Source organism: Homo sapiens, chromosome 17 (assembly GCF_000001405.40).
Source record: "Homo sapiens chromosome 17, GRCh38.p14 Primary Assembly".
Classification (NCBI taxonomy): domain Eukaryota; kingdom Metazoa; phylum Chordata; class Mammalia; order Primates; family Hominidae; genus Homo; species Homo sapiens.
The window spans coordinates 22,266,459-22,289,574 of record NC_000017.11 but is presented as its reverse complement, the minus strand read 5'-3'; the positions used below and the strand labels follow the sequence as shown (position 1 = coordinate 22,289,574).

The 23,116-nt window shown below is 44.3% G+C and overlaps 1 long non-coding RNA gene and 1 pseudogene across 1 annotated transcript; one reads left to right on the top strand and one right to left on the bottom strand.

Moving 5' to 3' along the window:
- Positions 1-1,551: 1,551 nt before the first annotated feature.
- Positions 1,552-23,111, bottom strand: LOC105371597 (uncharacterized). Its single transcript, NR_188343.1, has 2 exons — positions 22,907-23,111; positions 1,552-3,297 (listed from the first exon to the last, which is right to left on the bottom strand). It is a non-coding gene; the product is annotated as an uncharacterized LOC105371597 (long non-coding RNA).
- On the top strand, positions 10,169-11,701 carry LOC100421165 (FERM domain containing kindlin 3 pseudogene; annotated as a pseudogene).
- Positions 23,112-23,116: the final 5 nt, after the last annotated feature.

Genomic DNA, 23,116 nt, shown 5'->3' with positions numbered 1-23,116 from the left:
TTTGGGAGGCCAAGGTGGGTGGATCACCTGAGATCAGGAGTTTGAGACCAGCTTGGACAACATGGTGAAACCCTGACTCTACTAAAAATACAAAAATTAGCGAGGCATGGTGGTGTGCACCTGTGGTCCTAGCTGCCTGGGGAGCTGAGGCAGGAGAATTGCTTGAACCTGGTAGTTGGAGGTTGCAGTGAACCGAGATCATGCCACTGCACTCCAGCCTGGGTGACAGAATGAGATTCCATCTCAGAAAAAAAAAAAATGCAGTATCGATATACACAGCTAATATACTGAATGAAAGAAATAGAATAATTTGAAGAGGTATCTTGATGAAAAAGGAGTCATGAAGAAAGTTGTATTCATGTCTCTGAATGAAGAAAATTGCAATGTGAGAAATAGTACTATGACTACTACACTAAAAGCTTATTGCTAACCTGTATTGAGTTATTAACCTGTGTTAGGCAGAGTACCATATAATTTAAACGTGTTATCTCATTTATTGTAGGTACAACATAATTTTGAACTCTGGGATTATAAATGAATTAACTGGAATAAACTTCTATTTAAGTGGTCATCTGTAAATTGGTATCTAGGAACAGGGTGATACAGTGCCCAAGTTTTCTAAGTATTCTTACTAAGTGTTGTTTTTCTTGGATATTGCTCTTTTTTGGTCATTTTGATTTTTTTTTATTTTAGAAAACTAATAAATTCACTCTTCCTGGTTTCATAGAAGAAAAAGTAGTTAAATTCTGTACCTTTACTTTTATTTCATTTTTTCTCTTTTAAAATTATTTTTAATTGGCATGTAATAATTGTACAGGTTTATGGGTTACAGAGTGATATTTTGATATATTTATGCAATGTGTAATGATCAAGTCAGAGTCATTAGCATATCCATTACCTAAATCATTTATTATTTCTTTGCAGGAGAATACTAAAAATCTTTTCTTCTAGTTATTTGAAAACACACAATAAATTCCCTTTAACTACAGTCACCCTGCAGTGCTGTAGAGAACTATAACTTATTCCTTCTCTCCAGCTGTAATTTTGTATGTGTTAACCAAATTTTTCTGATACTCCCCTTTCTCTTTCCCGTATATGGTAACCAATACTCTACTATCTAAGCTTCCATACGTAAATGAGAACATGTAGTTATGTGGTGTTTCTTTCTCTTTTTTTTTTTTTTTTTTTTCTGAGACGGAGTCTCGCTCTTTCGCCCAGGCCGGACTGCAGTGGCGCTATCTTGGCTCACTGTAAGCTCCACCTCTCGGGTTCACGCCATTCTCCTGTCTGAGCCTCTGGAGTAGCTGGGACTACAGGTGCCCGCCACCTCGCCCGGCTAATTTTTTTTTGTATTTTTAGTAGAGACGGGGTTTCACCGTGTTAGCCAGGATGGTGTCGATCTCCTGGCCTCGTGATCCGCCTGTCTCGGCCTCCCAAAGTGCTGGGATTACAGGCGTGAGCCACCGTGCCTGGCCTGTGGTGTTTATTTTTCTATGCCAGGCTTATTTCACCTAAGATAATGCCCTCCAGTTGCATTCATGTTGCCACAAATGACAGGATTTTGTTCTTTATTATAACTTAATAGTATTCCATTATATATGTATGTCACATTTTCTTTATCCATTCATCTGTTGATGGACACTTATGTTGATTCCATATCTTGGCTATTGTGAATAGTGCTGTAATAAACATGGGGGTGCAGGTAAGGCTTTGATATATTGATTTTCTTTCCTTTGGATATATATTGAAAACCATATGATTAAATCAATAAACACAATGAAAGCATTTGGCAAAATTAAACGTTCTTACATGACAAAAGCCTCTAAACAATTTAGTGTGGAAAACATATGCCTCAACACAAAAGGGCGTAAAGACAACCCTACAGCTAAGATCATACTGAACGTGGAAAAGGTGAAAAATGTTACCATGAAAACTGGAGCAAGAAAAGGAGGCCCACTTTCACCAATCATATTTCACATAGTGAAAGTCTTAGCCAGGGCAATTAGGTTAGAGAAAGAAATAAAGGGCATCTGAATTGGAAAGGAGACAGTCAAATTATCCTTGTTTGCAGACAATGTGATCTCATACACGGAAGAAACTAAGGTCTCTACCTAAAACTTCTTAGAGTGATAAATGAATTTAATAAAGCTGCAGGATATAAAATCAACATACAAAAAACAGTAGCATTTCTATATGTTGATAGTAAACTAGCAGAAAAAAAATTAAGGAAGCTATTTCTTTTACAATAGCTACAAAAATGTACTTAGAAATAAACTTAACCGAGGAAGTAAATGATTTCTATAACAAAAATTACAAACATCAATGAAAGAAATTAAAGAAAACACAAAAAAGGAAAGACATCCAGGTTTATGGACTGAAATAATTAATATTCTAAAATGACTCACTATCCTACGTGATTTACAAATTCAGTATAATCACTAGCTTGTATTTTTAAAAGCACCTTAGCTGCATATTCTTAAGTCATTCAAATGGCAATGCCTGGATTTAAGTGTAAGAGGTATTTTTATATCTATTTTATATTGGTCACAATATAGTGTGCTCGACCTCAACTTTGCTCGAAGATTGGAGCAGGTGCTGACAGCGAGGAGAACCCAGACAGTGGGGGCAGGCACTTCCGAGCCTGTGTGGTCACGGGGGCCTTCCCAGGCCCCAAGAGTGCAGAGGTGCCTGGGTCTGCAGCTGTGGCTTGAAAGGCTCCAGCTGTGCCTGGGAGGGTGGGGCTCCTGCCTTCTCCTGGCTCCCAAGAGCACAGGAGTGCCTGGGTCGCAGACCCTCCTTGGGCAGCTGCAGTTGCGCCTGGGGAGTTCCTGCCCTGGCAACTTGGAAGGGGCTGGGCTCCCACTTGTCCCCAGCTGCCACTGGCTCCATAGAGTGTGCAGCCTTGGCCGTGACTCCTCTCTGCGTTTTCCCTGCAGTAGTGCATGGGCGAGGTGCAGGTGGCATGGGGGCCCTGGCTAATGCCGCACAAATGAACCTGATGCTCCTGGGGCCAATCCTGCAAGACCCGGCTGCCAGCGCTGATGGGCTCCCAGATGTGGTAGGAAGCGAAATTGAGGCCGCCATGGAGGGTCTGCACCTGGCAGTGGGTCCTGCCCAGCCATTAGGGGGCGGCGGCGCAGTCAGATGCCTTGGGGACACAGGGAACGGGGTCCTACCACCGCCACTGCTGCTCCTGCTGCTGCTCCTGACAACACTGCCCATGCGGCCCAAGCGCTACTGGCATGATGGCAACTGCCACTCCAGATGGCCAGCCGCTCCCATCAATAGTGTCCATATCTGAGAAGAAAAGTCAGGAAATAAATTATTGGTCAATAAAAATAATAGCAATAATATTCCATGTTAAATTGACTGATCAACAGTGTTTGCTTTTGTTTAGGATTTTGTTTTTTGCTTCATATTTATTAAACACATTTTATTTTATTGAGAACAAAATGTTAGATTTTTGGAAATTCAGTTAGAACTTGTAAGGGTACTCTAGCAATGAAATTCTTAACCAAACAGTTTAGACTCTAGTTTATATTTTATTGGTCAGAAATATTGTGTAATGTTTAAAATCTTAGTATATGTCTACATATGTTTAGTTGCAATTTAACTTTACCTACAGTCAGGTTTAATAGCTATCCTTTTGTGAAAGGATGATATCTTACCCTTAGTAGATCCACAGTGCCTATCAACAATGTTTACTTGCAACATGTTGACAACTAACAGAAGCAAGGTATTAATTTGCTAATAACTTATTATCCTGGGGGACAGTACTATTCATTCCCAGGCACTTAAATTCATACCAAGACACATTTATATATAGCTGGAAAGAAATTAAAGAAAGCACAAAAAAGACATCCAGGACTGTACTATTTTAATTAATTAATTATTAAATTAATGTTTCAATTATCTTTAGTGCTTTCTCATATCAGATTTGTCTGGAATAGTAACATACCAGGACTTCTGCTTTGGAATTTCTTTTTTTGTGAATTTCTTTTTTTTGTGACAACTTAGCATTTTTTTATATCTTTCTATGTTGATACAGTTTTATTATTTCCTTCAAGAATTGAGAGTGTACTTACATATTAAGTATATTAAATTTCCCATTATATCAAATCTTTATTTATTACAAAATTCAAATAAGCTAATAGATCCTAATGTTGCTATTGTTTGCATTTTCCTCTAGCCTAAAATTATTTTTATTTCAATTTTTGGAAAATTATAACTCTTGTTTAATATCATCTCCCAACTCAAAACCAGATAAATAAAGCAATAAAGAAAACAGAGGCTAGGGACAGTGGCTCATGCCTGTAATCCCAGCACTTTGGGAGGCCAGGAATAGTTGATCACTTGAGCCCAGGAGTTCAAGACCAGCCTGAGTAATATAACAAAACCCTATCTCTATTAAAAATACAAAAATTAGCCACGTGTGCTGGTGCGTGCCTGTAGTCCCAGCTACTTGGGAGGCTGAGGCACAGGAATCACTTCAACTTGGGAGGCAAAGGTTACAGTGAGTGGAGCTGGTGCCACTGTACTCCAGCTTGGGTGACAGAGCCAGACCTTGTCTCTGAAAAAAAAAAAGAAAAGAGAAAAAAAAGTTTCCTAATTAGTAAAGATAGTTTATAAACAAGGTCAATAATAAACAAGATGTTTATAATAAAGATTAACAATAAACAAGACGTTTATAAACAACCACAATTACATAAGTTGGAAAACAATCATTTAGGTAAAGTTCTGGTGGTGTCATATGTGCCTGTAGGTGTGATAACATTTATCTATTAATCTTAATGTCATGCAAGGAGAGTATCTTGATTTCTGCAATCCAAATTATTTCTTATTAGTAAATAAAAAATAAGTTTATCAGCTAGCAAATATTGCTTAGAAACTCGAAACACAAAAACATTGATATTATATGTATATATTTGTCAACACTTAAAATATTCTACATTTGTCATTTGCTCAAGTCTGAATGCTTCGGTTAGAAAAAAAACTTCTAAATTTTATTTATAGAAGATCATGATCTGAATTTCATATTCCCAAAGTTAATAAACAAATATAGTTGATAATTTTTCACAGCTGAAAGATAGGCATTATGATATATAAAATAGAAAAAAGTGAAGATTTATGTGGTTTAGCTGAGTCAATGAGTCAAAAATGTGGAATGCTGAAAAAAATGAAATATTTTATCCCATTCATAGAAGCACTTCTTCAAATTATAATTTTCCAGAGATGATCATAGTACACTCAAAATTAATTTTTAAATTTTGGTAACTGCTTTAATAAGGATGATTGAGAAACTGCAGTGTATTAAGAATATAATAGTAGGGAACTAGGAACATCAGCCCTGACTCAGATTTCACCCGTAACTACTGAAAATGATAAAGAGAGGTTGGGATGACGTGATTCATATATTTGAATGTCTATCATGCTGAAAATTTCATTTTATTTTAATTTCTTAATTGAAGGATAAAATTTTATGTATTTATTTTGTACATGATATTCTGAGGTATATTTACATGGTGAGGTGACTGAATCTAGCTAATTAGCATATGTATTACCTTATATTGTTATGAATTTTGTGGTAATTAACATCCAAAATATATAAGAAATTCAAACAACTCAATAGCAAGAAGGCAAATGAACTGATTAAAATATAAGCAAAAGATCTGAGCAGACATTTCTCAAAAGAAGACATACAAATGGCCAAGTAGGCTTATGCAAAAAATGTTCAACATCACTAATTATTATGGAAATGCAAACTAAAGCTCCACTCTGCTGTCATCTCACACCTATTATAATGGTTATTATCAAAAATACAAGAATTAAACGTGTTGATCAGGGTATGGAGATAAGGGAACCCTTGTACACTATTGGTGGGAATATATTAATTTCGTGTAAAAGTAATTGCAGTTTTGCCATTACATTCAATGGCAAAAACTTCAATTACTTTTGCACTAACCTAATAAATTAGTACAGTCTCTATGTATTAAATATTAAGTATTAGGCCGCTAAGTACTATGGTTCTCCAGAAATTTTTTAATTGAACTACTATATGATCCAGTGATCCCACTGCTGGGTATCTACCTATCCAAAGGATATAAAATCAGTATATGGAACAGATATCTGCACTCCCATGTTTATTGCAGTATTATTCACAGTAGTCATGATATGGAATCAACTTGTGTCCATCGACGGGGGGATGGGTAGAGAAAATGTGGCATATACATACAATGAAATACATTCAGCCACAGAAAAGAAGGAAATCCTGTTGTTTGTGAAAACATGGATGAACCTGGAGAATATTATGAGCTAGGCCAGGAAGACAATTATCACATAGTCTCATTCATATGTGGAATCTAAAAAAGTTAACAAGCAGAGAGTAAAATGTTTTTTTTGCCAGCAGCTAATGTGGTTGGGAATGGACTTTGGTAGATGTTGGTCAAAGGATACACAACTACAGTCAGAGAGAAGGAGTAAAATTTCAAGAGATCTATTGTGCAACGTGCTGACTATTGTTAGCAACTTAATGTATTTTTGAGAAATTCTGAGAGTGGATTAGTGTTCTAAACCAAAATAATAATTATGTGAGATGATGCTGGAAACTAATGGAAACATTTCTTTTTGTATGAAGACAGGACTGTGAACAAAGGTGATTGTAGCATTGTTGGTTGAAATGCGGATGAAGGCCATTGGTTTCTTTCAATGTTCTTCAAGAGCTTTGGAATGCCAGGAACCAACGTGGCATGGAGAAAAAAATGTTACATATAGTGTCAGAAAACTCAGTTGATAAACTTCATAAATGCATGAATTTGGGAAGATAATTTACATCTCTCAGGATCAGTTACTTCATACCAAGGTTTATACGTGGGTTATTAGGAAGTCTGATTTAAATAATGTAAGTGAAATGTCTGAAACATAAGTTATTCTCAGTAATATTATAGTTATTTAATACAACATTTTAATGGGCATATGATATTAATGAAACATTAAACTATATTTTAATATTTTAAGAAAATACTTTTACAAAGGAGTTTCATTCTTGTTGACCAGGCTGGAGTGCAGTGGCACGATCTCGGCTCACTGCAACCTCTGCCTCCTGGGTTCAAGCTATTCTCCTGCCTCAGCCTCCCAGGAAGCTGGGATTACAGGCATGCGCCACCACGCATGGCTAATTTTGTATTTTTAGTAGAGACGGCATTTTGCCATGTTGGCAAGGCTGGTTTTGAACTAGTGACCTCACGTGATCCACCCACCTTGGCATCTCAAGGTGTTGGGATTACAGGCGTGAGCCACTGCAGCCAGCAGAAAATAATTTTATTACATTTAAAATACTAATAAAACTTATTTAATCTACATTTTCTTATATTACAAAAATATGGTTGCAATATGAATTCAGATGGTTTACATGTTAAAATTACTAACCTCTGTGGCTGAAAAAGTTACCTATAAATGTTCATTGCCTTTAATTGATATTCATTCATATATGAAAATATATCACACTAATCAAATTGCAGATGTAGTAATAAAAAAGCAAAACTGTGCTATGAGTTTTGAACACTAATTTAATTTGACAGAACTTAAGTGACCAGAAAGAAAATAGAATTATTTGCAACTGCAGAAATTGCTGCTGGGTTAAAATTGACATTGAAAAAGCCTACCTTTTGACACCTCCCTCCCCAACATTGGCAACTGTTGGAATCAGTTGTCATGTTCCCAAGGCAAATTATTGTCCATAATATCACAAAAAGTAATGAGAGCAAAAGAATTTCTGAAAGAACATGAGGCTTTCCTAAGCACTAAACTAACAAAGCTTGAACTTAGCCAAGAAATGGGAAGTTGCAGACACTGCACATTAGCAAAATGTCTTGGCAGAAGATGGACATGCAGAAGTGCAATCACTATCTTATTTATTTTCCACTCTAGGGGACACTAATATGAAAGTGACTAATATTGGATAATCATTCCCAGAACCAATTAAACATAGCATGCCATTTCTTGTGGAGAATATTTCATGCTCAGGGAAATTAAACCATTTTATTATGATTAAGTTTCCTTAGTCAAACATGCTTTAAACTTACATTCTCACACTGTTAACTAGGTGGGTATGAATTTACTTTCCTATGGTGTACAGGTGATTTCTGGAGGAAAATAGCTGAAGTGCTCATGTGGAATGGAACTAGAGTGTGATTCTTTTTGTATTCTACTTTGTATTAACTGAAATATTTAGTGTATTGGTCCCACTTCCCAAGTGAATAAAATGGAGTTCAGAAAGCTTACGTGATTTGCAAATTGAGGCAGAGCTGATAAGACACAGTGTTGTCTTGGCAGTGCAAGTTTCTGACTTCAAATCCGTTTAGAACACACAGTTTTATCTATACAGCATAATTATGACCAGATCTAAAAAATCAAATTCTAAAACAATAGAGACTACTATATTTTGATGATGCTTTACTATATCATCAAGAACAATGAGTAAGGATACATTTAAATGACTTTAGTGTGTTTCATCAGTTTAATTTTTATGACTGCATTGTGAATTATAGGCATTTTAAGCTTATTTTAATTGTATTTTCCAAATGCGAATTGGACAAATATTTAAAATTGTTGTATTCTCAACACAAAAATTGTATGTAAGGCAATGCATATGTTCATTAGCTAGATTTAATCATTCCACAATATATATACTTTAAAACATCATATTGTACACAATATGTACAATAGTATCTACAAATTAAAAATGAAAATAATAATAAATTATGTCTTAGGCAAATATTCACAGATATTGGAAATAATATTTATGCATCTCATTGACTCAATTTATACTAAAAGGCAAATAGCCGTCTTCCTTAATAATAGTTGTAGTATTTTCATAGCCATCTCTGTTTATCTCTGCAGTTTACTGTGGAGCAAATTTTCATACTTCTCTTCAACACTCAGAGGAATACTTCAAAGAAAAATTAAGATATGAAGGTTGGTTGAAGGTTTTATTGGGTAAACTGGGTTCTTTGTGGATAGACGTCATAGCACACAACCGTGTAGCAACTTATACTCAAGTACCATTCAGATATCTCCTCCTCACAAAACGCCTTCTGCTCCCTCGATCCCTTTCTTTAGGCATCTCCTGGTCTCTCATGGGAAGAATATGTAATAATAGTCAAGAGGGCTTGGGAGGAAAACAGACTAGTGTTGGCTAATCCATTACGTACTCTGGGGAAATTGTTTGAGCCATATTCACACCCTGTTAATAAAACCTATCCCATATGGTTAAAATGCGCATCCAATAACATGTCTTTAATGTGTTTAACACAACATCCAGCTAACTGTACCAATTGTGATAATGGTAACAAAGAAGTGGTCTGAAGCAAACAGAGAGGGAAAGCCCTTATTCCACTTCCATAATCTCCATCATTCTTGCCCCAAAGAGTATGTAACATACAATATAATTAAAAATGAGTATAGGACATTTAAGATTTCCAGGCTTATCTTCTGAACAACTTGCCATTAAATTCTTCTGCTGCAGATATTATAGACACTTTATAAAGTAAGCACTCAAAATCCTCGTCTCCCTGGTCATCCTCATGTTTGTTTGCCACTGGCATCCTAGAGAATGAACTGGCCTTCTCAATAACTTTTTTTTTTTTTTTGAGATGGAGTCTTGCTCTTTCGCCCAGGCCAGACTGCAGTGGCACAATCTCGGCTCACTCTGCCTCCCGGGTTCACGCCATTCTCCTGCCTCAGCCTCCCGAGTAGCTGGGACTACAGGCGCCCAGCATGGCGCCTGGCTAATTTTTTCGTATTTTTAGTGGAGACGGGGTTTCACCGTGTTAGCCAGGATGGTCTCGATCTCCTGACCTCGTGATCCGCCCGCCTCGGCCTCCCAAAGTGCTGGGATTACAGGCATGCGCCCCCGCGCCCGGCCCTCAGTAACATTTTGACTTGATCTGTCAAGGTGCTTTCGTCAGTGCTTCTGGGCCGCAGCCGCCACCTACAGCCTCCACAGTGCCCGGCGTCCCGGATCTGGCCCCACTCCAGTTCCTGAGCACCAAGGCCACAGCAGCTGAGGCCCCTGATGGAGGAGCCAAGGCCCTGGGGGTGGTTGCCCGAGTCCCGCGCCTGTCTCCTGAAAGGCCAAGGGTGGCCTGCACCTCGCTGACAGCTGTTCCCTGCACTGTTCAGCCCCTCCTGGGAAGCCAGTGACAGCCCCTGCAGCATGCACTCAGCTGCTCCTGCCCCGCAGGTGGGGCTCACTTGCCTCCAGCCCCACTCCAGCTCCTGAGACTAGAAGGAACCGGACGAGGAGGTGTGCAACCTGACCAAGGTGGTCCTAGCGGGCAGCTTCGCTCCAGCGCTCTTCCGGGGAGGCTGGCTCACTTCTGGGACAGTGGCCAATCCAGGCCTGCGACCACCTGCCGAGCCAGTGACCGACGCCGCCCGACCCTCCCTCGCCCGCCAGGGCCCAACGCCCGCTGGACGAATCCCTGCTGCACAGCGGGCTCTGGTACCTGCGGTGCCTCATTTAACGGGGTGCCAGGGCCAGGCGACTCTGGCTGCACTTTCAGCCCCAAGACTTCTGCGGCTTGGACCCCGCTGTGCGAGCTGCTCAGTGAGATCTGCTGCTGGAGGGGTGGGCTGCATCTAGGAGGGGTTGATGGTGTCTCATCTCTGCAATCCTATGGAATCAGGCTGTCTCAGAGAGGGGAGATGGGCTGTGGATACCTGGCTGGATGGCCTGGACGCAGCCCTCAGCAGCTTGGAGAAGCTGGAGGGCTAGATATCCACAGATGGGCTGGAAGCCCGTGTTCTGTGACACACCTTGTCACAGAAGTCAAGGTGTGTCCTCAAATCTCCCAGCCCCAGAAGCTGACCCTGAAGGGCTGAGGCCAGCACTGGGAGCTGTTCAAGGAACCCATGCAATCCTGCCATGAGAGCCAGGCCACGCCCCAGTGGACACCAGCCCCACACCCTCGGCAGCTCAACCTCAAGGGCTGTGAGGGCATTTCTGGTGTTAGCGCCTCTGGCTGCGAGTTCTGCATCCAACTCACCAAAGGCAAGCGACCCCCACCTGCGGAGCAGGAGCAGCTGGGTGCATGCTGCAGGGGCTGCCACTGGCTTCCCAGGAGGGGCTGCACCATGCAGGGAACAGCCGCCAGCGAGGTGTAGCCTTCCAGCAGACAGGCACCGGGTTCGGCAACCACCCCCAGGGCAGTGGCGCCCTTGTCAGGGGCCTCAGCCTCTGTGGTCTTGGTACTCCCTCCACACCCCCCACCCTGCCCTTCCACAAAAGTTCAAGGCCAAGCAGCTCATCCCACGGATCCTGGAAGCCCCTAGAATGTGGCTTGGCTCTTGCCGACCAGGCCCAGCTGTGCCTCCATCAGGCCTGGCAATGCTTGCCTGACTTTGGCATCTACTACCTCATGGTCAGGCTCAAGAGCAGAAAAGATCCTGGGACTCGTCAACAATCAACAGTTCACATCGACTTGACCATTGGTGATGTGGTGACCTGGGTTTCAGCGATATGTGGTACTGGGATGTCAACTGGGATACCAGCAGGCGGTTATCCACATGGCCTTCAGCTCCATGTCTCCCATCTGTCCAGTTATGCACAACCACATCAGGGGCTACATTTTCCTGTTGATCCAGAGTGGGCCCCTGGGGAGGAGCTGGATGAGGGGATCTCTTTCTGCAGCTCAGGGGTGGAGGCCTTCTAAGGGCTGTCTGACTGCCCTTGTCCTGCTCATCCTCTGCGGCTAGGCTCCCAAGCCCACACCCACTGGGTCTGGCTGCCCCACACCTGCTCCAGGCAGTCACTGAGCTGGGCACGTTCACCTGGTGCCACTGGCTTTGTGCAGGCCAGGGACCTGGCTGAGCCAGATTCTGCCATTATCCAGGCTAGGGACAGGGATCCTGAGCTCATAGGGTGCCCACTTCCCTTGTCCAAGAGGCTGAGGCCAACACCCCGGACCTCTCTGTAGTCCCTGAGCACACAAAGAAGACCAGCTCTAACTATGGGATGATGAGTCCTGGTTTCAAACTGAAGTTTATGTCTTCTTACTTTTAAAAACTAGAAATCACTGTAATTCCCCAGGAAGATAAGGTGTCATGAATGTATTTTTTAAGTGTCGTAGACTTATTGAAGTGAGTTTTGCAGTTCTAGTAATCCACAGGACACATTTTAAAAAACTGAATAATCTACCTTTGTTTCAGTGTCGGGTACTGATCTTGGTATGGCATTGGAAAGTAAACATGATATAAAAAATCGCTGGTCTTATATAATTTATATTCTAGCAGGTGAGAGAAACAAACTGTGTATTAGTAAAATATACAGTGCATCAGGTGGTTCTAAGGAGGAAAACAAAGCAGGGCAGAAAAATGAAGTGCTTAGAAAAACTTAGTAATACGATTAAGGTAGGCACCACTTTGAGGAAACATTAGAGCAAAATGATGAATACGGTAAATGTTCATTGGAAAAAAGTGGAATTTTTGTAAAATGGGAGAAGATGTAGGTGAAGAATTTGACAGTTGTGGATATATTAATTTTGGGATTTCCATTAAATAGTTAATTGGAGATGTTAAGTAAGCATTTAAATATATAAATCTGAAACTCAGAGGAGAGTTCTGGCCTGGATATAAAATGTTGAAAATCATTGTTATATTGTTCTTTTGGGCATGTTCAGCTGCATGGGTGCTGGCAAGGATTAGACACACAGACAGTTGCATTTAACCGAGGTTGTAATTTTGGCAGTAGAGTTGAATAAAGCAAGGGAAAGACAAATGAGTTGAAGTTGCATAAGCTCTAGAAATTTCAAGTTGACAATTAAGTTCAATTTGTTTGAGGAAGATAGATGGGAAGCGAAGGGATTATAGATAGTCAAAAGTTGATAGAAACAGTAGATCATTGTTTCTGTTGAAGCTCACACTTTATTTCTAGATATATTGTTTTATGGCCAAATGGAGATACTAGCATAAAAAATAGAATGGTTTGTATTAAATAACATTAAATGGAAAAGTGTATTTTGAGTTGTCACTTTATATAAAAAAGTTGAAGAGACATAAGAGTTACAGTGATTTACATATCTATAGGGTATTTTTAAAGAGAGATTTGGGGAATGATGAAGGTTAAATGATTAACACACAAACTAAGATTAAATGAGCTGGTCATGGAGACTCATGCCTGTAATCCCAACACTTTGGGAGGCTGAGGTGGGTGGATCGCTTGACCCCAGGAGTTTGAGACTAACCTGGGTAACATAGTGAGACCCTGTCTCTACAAAAAATACAAAAATTAGCCAAGTGTTGTTGCATGCACTTGTAGTCCCAGCTACTGAGGAGGCTGAGTTGGGAGAAACACTTGAGTCTGGGAGGTTGAGGCTGCAATGAGCTATGATTGCACTACTGCACTCCAGCCTGGGTGACAGACTGAGATCCTGTGAAAGAAAAGAAAAGAAGATGACAGAAGGGAGAAAAGGGGAGGAGAGGGGAGGGAGAGAAGAGAGAAGAAGAGAAGAGACTGAAGAGAAGAGAGAAGAGAAGGGAAAGAAAAGGGAAAAAGGAAGAGAAAAGAAAGGAGAAAGGGGAAGAGAGAAAATAAACAACAACAAAAACAACAATCAAATCAAACAACAAATAGATTTACAGAAGCAGAAAGAAAGACCTAAGCTTATAGACCAACAGATTGGAGCTCCAGATGACAGTGCTGAGAAAAAAAATCCCCATGGAATCACATGCTAAAGAATATGTGTTTGATTAGGAACTCCAGAGAAGGGGTAGATGCCAGTAATGAAATGGAAAGAGTAACAAGGGAAGAAAAAGGAAATTAATAACCAGAGTGATCAATAACCAGAGGAAAAAACCCACAAGGTAAACCAATAAATGTAAAATAAGCCAAAAGAAATAAAACCAACTACAGTAGATCAATTGTTTAATGAAATGTGAACAGATGAATTCCCATTAAAAGACAAAGGTCAGCCTGGGTTTAAAAATAAAGTGATAACTGGGCAATATGGTGAGATCCCCATCTCTCCAAAAAAAAAAAAAAAAAAAAAAAAAACCAAAAAATTAGCTGGGTGTAATGGTGCATGCCTGTAGTCCCAGCTACTGTAAAGGCTGAGGTGGGAGGATCACCTCAAACTAGGAGGTCAATGCTGAAGCAAGCTGTGATGTTGCCACTGCACTCCAGCCAGGGCAACAGAACAAGACCCTGTCTCAATCAACACCACCACCAACAAAAAAACCCAGTGATGTATATATACAAGAAAAACACTTAAACAATGATAATGGTGGAAAATAAAAGAATGCCAAGAGATACCAGGAAAGTGCAAAAGCTAAAGTAAAATAAAGAGTGGCCATAATAATAATAGAAGGGTGGAATTTAAGGTTAAGCACTGAAATGGGATAAAGAGGGACACCATGTAATGATGGGCACAATTCATAATGAGAGAACACTCGAAATCTGCATGCTCCCGACAGCATCACAGTAAATACAAAAAGCAAAATCTAGTAAAAGATGAGATTTATAGAGAAAATTATAAAGAACACTCAAAATCTGCATTCTCCCCACATCATAGTAAATATAAAAAGCAAAAACTAGTAAAAGAAGAGATTTATAGAGAAAATTTGAGTGGAAGGCTAAATCTCTGTTAGAACTACAGTAAAAGCCTCCTCCCCCAAAGGATACAAAAGAAGTGACAGCTTGAATAACCAAAAACTTGATTTGGTATATATGGGACCTTATATCCCTTAAATAGAAAATATACATTTTTTCAACGTCTATGAAAATCTTAGAAAAATCATTTGTTTGGCCACAAATAAATTCATAATAAATTTTAAAAGTGGAGAGTTTACACATTTGGAGAAAATGAATGCTTTCCTAGTAAAATATAAAGTGCCCCTAATGAACTAGATAATGAGTAGAAACTTAATTACCACTGATGATAAAAAAATCTGCCACTGAAAAAAGCACCAGGTCCAGACGGTTTCATGAGAAGGAACTGTAGAAACCTTTAGAATTCACCTCTGTCAACACCTTCCTCCTCTGGGAAGCACTCCTGGATTTCCCTCTTGCTGACAAGATCCTGGGAGAGTGGTTTCTCCATCATGTCCCTGACACAGCTCCTTGAAGATGTACCATATCATATCATAACCATATGATATCATATCTGCATACCACATCCTAACTGGATTTGATGGCCAATCTGTCCTGGACAATAAGCTACCTGAGTGTAGGAATCACACTTTTTTATTGGTTCCTAGTGCCTGGTACAGCAGCTGACACTGGCTGACTAGGTGAATACGGTAAGTGAAAAAGCAGAATGCACAATAATCAGTACTCTATGATGCCCCTATGGGAACTCCCCAAGACACACACATAGGAAGGAGAATAAATGAAAAGAAACCAAAATGCTAACAGTAATTAGATTGAGATATCCCCCTATTATCCAAATATTTGTGATGGAGTTAAACAATTTTTATAGGGGTGAATAGTAATTTATACAACCACCTGGGCCAAGGAGTAGAAAAGGAGGAGGAAGACTCAGAGGATCTTCAGGCAGGCCCTTCTGCTACCTCGGCTTCCTTTTTCCGGCCAGGTGGTCCAGCCCCCAGGCAGACATGAAGGCCCTGACAGGGGCCTCTGCCCCACCAGCTTCATGCCTCATAGGGGACCTCTAGCTAGGAGAAGGTGAGGAGATAGGGTAGGCACCTACAGGAGCCTAACCTGGACAGAAGGGTCCTGCGGGTCTTACCTGGCCCAGGCAGCAGCTCTGGAAATTCTATCAACACTAGTTTCCTTTAAACAGAGCCTCCCAAATTTTAGCAAGAGCTCTATGCCCTTCAGCCCCAGGGCCTTAGTCCTGTCGGCCCCATTTTCCCCTCAATATAAACCAACAGCCACTGTCCCCTCACTTTGTGGCCCAGATCCAGCTCTGAGTCTCCCTAGCATTCGGGCATGGAGTCCCAACTACATTCCTGGTGATCAGCTACCCCTGGTCATGATCCTGGACTTTCCTATGCCCCAGAACCTGGCACTGACCATCCATCTAGGCTGGCATTCCATACTAATGCCCACCCCTCCCTCTAATGGAGCTGCCAGCTCAGATATGGGGCCTCCAGAGCTGCTTGTATAAGAAGTTGCAGCAGCCAGGCTCCACCGGCCTGGGCTTTCTCCTTTGGGGGTGGGAATGATGACTGCACCCTGAAATCCCTGAGTCAGGATGGCAGCAGTGGGGAGGAGGCTCAGAGGCCCCTTTATTCCACAGGCTTTTGTCTGGCTTCCCTGGGATTCCTGAGTGGCCTCCTTTGAGGGAGGGGAAGAGTTGTCCCTGCTTACCTCCCCCTTACCCCTCTCTCTCTCCTTCAAGAGGGCTTGCTTTCTGCCCTCTCCTAGGCAGCCATGGAACAGGAGACATCCCTCTCCTGGGACATCAAATTCTCCAACTACACCCTCAGCTGCAGAAGGCAAGGTCACGATTTGGAATTCATGTCTCCTTCCCTGCCGCCCATGCCCACAACAGGGATGGGCACACAGAGGATGCTCAGAAGAATGAGTACGTGCTTGCCTTTGGCTTGTATTCTTCTTGCCGAGTCGAACAGGGTGGTCAACCCTGAAGGCCACCTGGCTGAAACTGAACCTGGTGGCCTGGGTGGGTTTTATGGGCAGGAGACCTGCAACTGTCCTGGACACAGCCATTTCCTGGCAGCGTGACCTTTGACCAGTCACTAAACCTCTCTGAACATCTGTTTGTACTCAAGGCAAATGGAGGTGCCTATGTCTGCCTTCCAACTTGTTAGAAGCTTAACCCTGGGTGCAAGCCTTTGAGTAAGAGGCCACAGTACTGTTAGCCCCTTTGGGACTGTGTCTTACCATATTTTATGTCCCCCGTGTCCAACACAGTGACCAGTACATACCAAGTACTCAGTATGTGAAATTAGAGTGCATGGTGAATGACAAAACTGCGCCATACATGGCAGGAGCTCCTCTCTTCTAGGGGTCTGTGGGCTTGCCCAGTAGCCTGCCCTAAGCCATGAGCCGATGCCCAACAGACAGGTGTCCCCACACACTCCCCAATGACCCTGTGTCACTGCCACCCTCACATCGTTGCCCCCTCTGTTCTGCTCCACCTCTACTTTCTTATGAGATCCCTTCTCAGCAATGATCTCCTGCCCATCCACCTAAACTTGGGGATATTTCCATCTATGACCCTACACCCCCTCTATCCACACCATCTCTCTCCCCTTCTGCCTGTTGTCTACACTCTCGATCCACATCATCACCTTCACTCCTGACCCACTGTCCTCTGCCTTCAGCAACACCCTTGACCAGCTGGCCTTCTGGTGGCCACATTGGATAAGTGTACTATGGCCTTTATCTAACTTGACCTTTCTGTAGCCCCCTTCTTCTGGACACTTCTTGCCCTTTGGGCCAGCACTCTTGTGCTTCTCCTCCTTGATCTGTACCTGCTGCTTCCTCTCAGGCTTCTCTTTTCCTCCCTTTGTCTGGCATCTACCTTCAGGCAGGCCCGGTGTTTCCTCCATCCTACTCTTCCTCAGGTCATCTCCCCTCAGTAAAATCACCACTGTCTGCCCATGAGTGCAAACTGGGAAGCTAGAACTCGGTCTGATTTCCCCTAGATGCCCCTCGACCACCAGACCCTGCCTACTCTACTTCTCAAACCTCCGGTCATTGCCACATGCCCATGGTACCACCAAGGACCTTAGCCATTCTTGCAGCCCTGGCCATGGGGATTTTTTTCTCAATCCCACTCCCTTCTCTGCTAAAAGCCTTACAAAGGCCACAGGATGGCATGCACATTCCTGGCAAGGGCCCATGAGACCATGCCCAGGTGGGCACTAGCCACTCGCAACTTCCTACTCCACTCTTGAACCCGACCCACATGTCCTCTCCTGCTGGCCTCCCATCTAAGAGGGTGAGACCCCCAGGACCATGGCTGTGTCTTAGTTCTCTCTAGATGCAAAAGCTCACCTGGGTCTTGGCAGATGTTCAATTAGTTCATGCCTAGTGATTAGGTGAACAGACCTGGAGGATCATGGTGAGAAAAGGGGATAGAGAGGGCCGGCTTTTCCTGAACCCTCTGAGGAGATAACAGGCAGGCTCACCTTTCAGGATATTCCTTCCCAAAATGCTGCTGGAAAATATAAGATCGAGGTGGAGGTCCAACTAACTCCTGACACTGGACTTTGTTGGGGATGGAGTGTCAGGGAGGCCCACAGCTGACTCCTGAATAAAACACAGTCACAGGGACTGTGGTATTGTTGTGCCCATCACATAGTTGTGGGGGGGGGAACAGGACCAGAGATGCTGAATGACTTGTGGAGGTCACATAGTAAATTAGGGACACAATTGGGGTCAGGGAGCAGCCTCTTTGGCCAATGTCCTAGTTCCTTCCTGCAAAAGTCCCTGGCCCCATCACCTGCACCCCTCCTGCACAGGCCACTGCAACCATGAACCTGCTGGGAGCCAGAGGAGAGATGGGCAGAGGCACTATCCAACAGGGACCCTGGTACTGGGATGATGTCTTCTCAGAAGATGCTGGGACCTGGGATGCCACGTTCACCTTAGGGCCTGGCCCCTGGGATGTTGGCCCTTGGGTAGACCTGCAGAGCACTGGCTCATAGGTAAAGGGCTGCCACTCCTCTACCCTCCTCAACACACACTCTGTGCACTCTGTCTGAGCCAGACCCTGGGCCAGAAGGGAGGTTCAAAGGGCATGGCCATTTCCCAACCTCCAGGGGCACCTTTCAGAGGGGGAGACACTCCCACCATCACCAGGACAGAGAATGTGGAGAGGCCTGGAAGTCTGCCACCACGAGCCTATGCAGGAAACAGAGGGATGCCAGGACAAGAGCACTGGCATCCAGCCACCCATCCCAGAGATGCTGCCTGGCCGACTTTCAGGGGCTCCAGACAGGGACCCGCCTAGTCCCCATGCCCTCCTGCCAGGTGCTGTTTTCTAGCCTGGTCACAAGGTGACAGACTGCCTCTGCAGGAGCCTGAGTGAAGGTGGCACAGACCTGGAGGGAAGCAGACCGAGGCCTACCCAGACAGTCTGGGTGGACCACCTGCTGCTGCCAAGCACTTCCAAGCCTCCCCTTGCATAAGGCTGACAGCAACCCTAATTGTGTATTGTGCTTACACACAGGGATGTTGGGCCTGGAGGAATTAAGTGGCTGTCAGCAGCTGGCAGGTGACCCAGTGGAGTCAAATTCACGTTTTCCTGGTCTCAAAACCTGAACTCTGCCTTATAATGAGAAGGGTGGATGGAAGACCCATTAGCAGGCTCAGGGGAATGGTGCCTCCTTCCTCTGGGAATCCGGGACTCAGTCCTGGCACATAGCAGGCATCAATGTTCATCGTAATGACATCAAATACAAAGAAAGAAATCAAAGGCACCCAAGGTTCAGAGGTAATCTGTCCACCCCACTCCCTTTGGGCTAAAGAACAAGCCAAGACCCTGAGAAAGGAAGTGAAAGTGAGGAAAAGAGGAGGCCAGTGCAGAGGCCACATCCCACCCAGCATCCATCCATCCCAATCTCATGTGGCTTCAGGAATGAAAGCCCAAATTGGGAGCTGACCAGAATGGCCCAAGTTTGTGCTCCAACTGTTCCCTGCACGTTGGAGTACTCCCAACTGGGCACTGAGCTACGTGTGGACTGCCTGTGTAATGAAGGGAATGCGAGGATGGACTTGGAAGCACCTTCTGTGTCATCTGTCTGCATCTTTTTTGCAGGTGAAGGTGCAGGACCCCATCCACACCTCACCAGATTATATCCTCTCCCCTACCTGACCTTATTGCTGCTCACACTCTCCATCCCTAAATGTAATCCCAATACAAGGGAGCAGTGTCCTCCTCACGATGGGAGGCACCTGCTTGGCTGGAAACCCAATCCGAGGTAAATTCAAGGAGCCCTGTGGACAGGACTGCTAGGGTCTTTCTCTGGGATGGCCACAGGATAATGAAGCACTGGGAGTTGTCTGTTCTTGGGTGTGGTGTGGTCCTTTTCTTTCTAGATGAGTGGCTTCTTTGCAGAGGGAGGTGACTTAAACCCCGGCGGGTCTCAGCCAGCCTCCCAATTCATCGCGGATTCAGGAACCACGGAAACACAAAGGACACAGAGTCCCACAGCCCAAACAAAGCCACACAGACAGGCCACAAAAAGGTGGGGGAAAAATCTGTAGTGAGTTAGCCGCATTTCTTTAAGCCGACTCCACTTACAGGCGCGCACACACACACGTACACACATACACAAAGCCACACACACACGCAGACATCCAACACTTGCAACACTCCCTCAGAAACACACAGCCCGGCAGCTTCTGAGGCTGAGTGATTCTGAAGGAAGCCCCACCTGGGAGACAGCAACCCCGCGGAAAACAGGGGGCTATACCTAGAAATCAAAGTGGGCAAGTTTCAAAAAGACTCACCCCTACAACGACTAGACAGGCCTGAGGCATCCTTCAGATCCTTTTGGATCCCTAGGGATTTCGCGGTTTACTCCTGGGGCTCTGCCTGACGTTTCTTCAGGCTCGCTCACATCTGCCCTCTCCTAGGATCCTCGGACTATCCTGTGGATCCCACGGAGAAGACAGGCGAGAGTCCACCGCCTTTGCACCTCCACGGTGGTCTCCTTCCCAGCTAAGCCGCAGGGATTTGTCATTAGGTAACAGTGGCATTCATTGTGATGCTAGCCAGAGCTCACAGCTCAGGCCTGGCGCCCTGAAACTAGCGCATGCGCATTAGCGAGGCGGACCGGGGCGCCCGGCTGTCAGAGCTGTCAGCCTGCCCAAGCAGAAGAAAATGGTACAGGCAGAGACGGCCTGGTATCGGGAGAAAGGCTGCCTTCCATAACCCATTGCGGGACCCTAAAAGTCTTGACCTTAGGGCCCCCTCGGGTCGTCTCTGTTGTCGGGTCCCGCTGGAGGAGGAGGCGTTTCAAGAGTGTGAGTTGGTTGCTGGAAACTGCTCTTCTGACTCCCTTCCTGAAAGAGGCTGTTTGCAGGAATCGGGTCCCATGGGGATTGGAATATAGTCTGGTGAGTTGTTGAGGGGTCTTTGGGTGATGGAATCTAAACTGAGACCCCAGAGGCGGGTGTCAGCAAAAGATGGCCGGGCCCTTGGCCTCACTGCCTTACTTCATCCCGGGCCTCGCAGAGGATCTCTGGGAAAGGCAGAAACCGCGACAAATGCAAGTCCAAGGTAGAGCAGTGTTCTCACACTTCGAACTGGCCTCTCATGGCTGCAGATGAGGTTGAGACATTGTCTCAGAGGTTGTCTGTGGTGATTGCAAGCCTGAAAAGGGTGCCCAGCAGTGCTGTGGACGGGCACTGTTGACCCCCCATGAAAGCCAACAAAAATCAAGGCTTGCCTGAGAGAACGAGCTGACTTGCGCTGGAGTCCAACCAATGTTCAAAGCTTCCTGTCAGAAAACCCAAAACCCTCCTGCAAAGTGCAAACAACCTCAGCCCCAAAAGGAGACCACGACCCACAACCTGGAGGGCAGCCTGATTACCTGAAGTCCCTTTTGCTGCCTGAAATCCCTCGCAGCCAAAAGATTTATGGCGAGAGGCAGTCCCACCTAGCAACAGCCCAATGAAAGAACCTCCACAATGAGAAAGGACGTGCAGATGAGATGAAACAGAGCCTAGATTACCAGGCAAAAGCCAGACATGGCTGCCTGCTACTCATCCTATAGGAATCATGCAGCCCTTCAATAGAAGTGGGAGAACAAGAGTTTCCTTGTTGGTGAATGTAATGGGAATTTACGGTTTTAAAATTATAACAGCTGCCAGTCATTAAAACGTGACAGCGTTTAGAAGAAAACACTCATGTAATGGATTCCCATGAGGATCGTCCTCTGTGAACTGTGAAACATTTAGTGTGTAAGACGTTGAGCCAGCCCCAGGAAACCCTAGGCCGATGAGGAACATGGAAGTCAGCAAAAGAAGAGGCAAGTGCGGTGGCCACATCCCACCCAGCATCAACCCATCACACTTCCATTTGGCTCTAGGTATAAAAGCCCCCAAATTGGGAGTTTGTCAGGATGGCCTCAGTTTGCACTCCAAATGTTCCCTGCACCTTGGAGTTTTCCCACCTGAACACCGGGCCATGGGTGTACTGGTTGTGCAATTAAGGGACTGAGGGGATGCAGCTGGAAGCACCTTCATCTGTCTTCACCTTTTTTGCAGGTAGAGGTGTGGGACCTCATTCACCCCACAACAGATTGTATCCTCTCCCCTATCTGACCTTATTGCTGCTCACACTTTCTGTCCCTGAATGAAATCCGAAGATGATGGAGGAGTGCCCCCTCACGACGGGAAGTACCTGCTCGGCTGGGAACTGAATTCGATGTAAATTCTGCCCTGCGGACAGAACTGCTAGTGTCTTTCCCTGACTTGGACGCAAGACGGTAAAACACTGGGAGATGTCCTTTCTTGGGTGTGGTGTGCTCCTGTTCTTTCTAGAAGAACATCTTTTTTTTTTTTTTTTTTTTTTTTTTTTTTTGCAGTGGAGGTGATTTTGACCCAGGCCGGTCTCAGCCAGCCTCCGAATTCACTGCGGATTCATGATCCACAGAAAGATAAAGAGCACCGAGCCGCGCAGACCAAGCAGAGCCACACAGACAGGACAACATAAGGTTGGGAGACTCAAAAAAAAAGAAGCGCTGCAGTGCATTAGCCACATTCCTTTAAGTCGACTACACTTACAGGCACATACACACACACACACACGCAGACTTCCAACACTTGTAACACTCCCACAGAACACACAGACCGGCAGCTTCTGAGGCTGCATGTTTCTGAAGGAAACCCCACCTAAGAGAGAGCAACCCTGAGGAACACAGGTGGGCTGTATCTAAAAATCACAGTGGGGCAAGTTTCAAAAAGACTTACCCCTACGATGACTAGGCAGGCCTGAGGCATCCTGCAGATCCTTTTGGATCCTTAGGGATTTTGCGGTTTATTCCTGGGGCTCCTGCTTGGCGTTTCTTCAGGCTGGCTCACGTCTGCCCTCTCCTAGGATCATGGGACTATCCCGTGGATCCCACAGAGAAGACAGGCGAGAGTCCACCGCCTAGGCACCTCCACAAAGTTCTCTGTCTC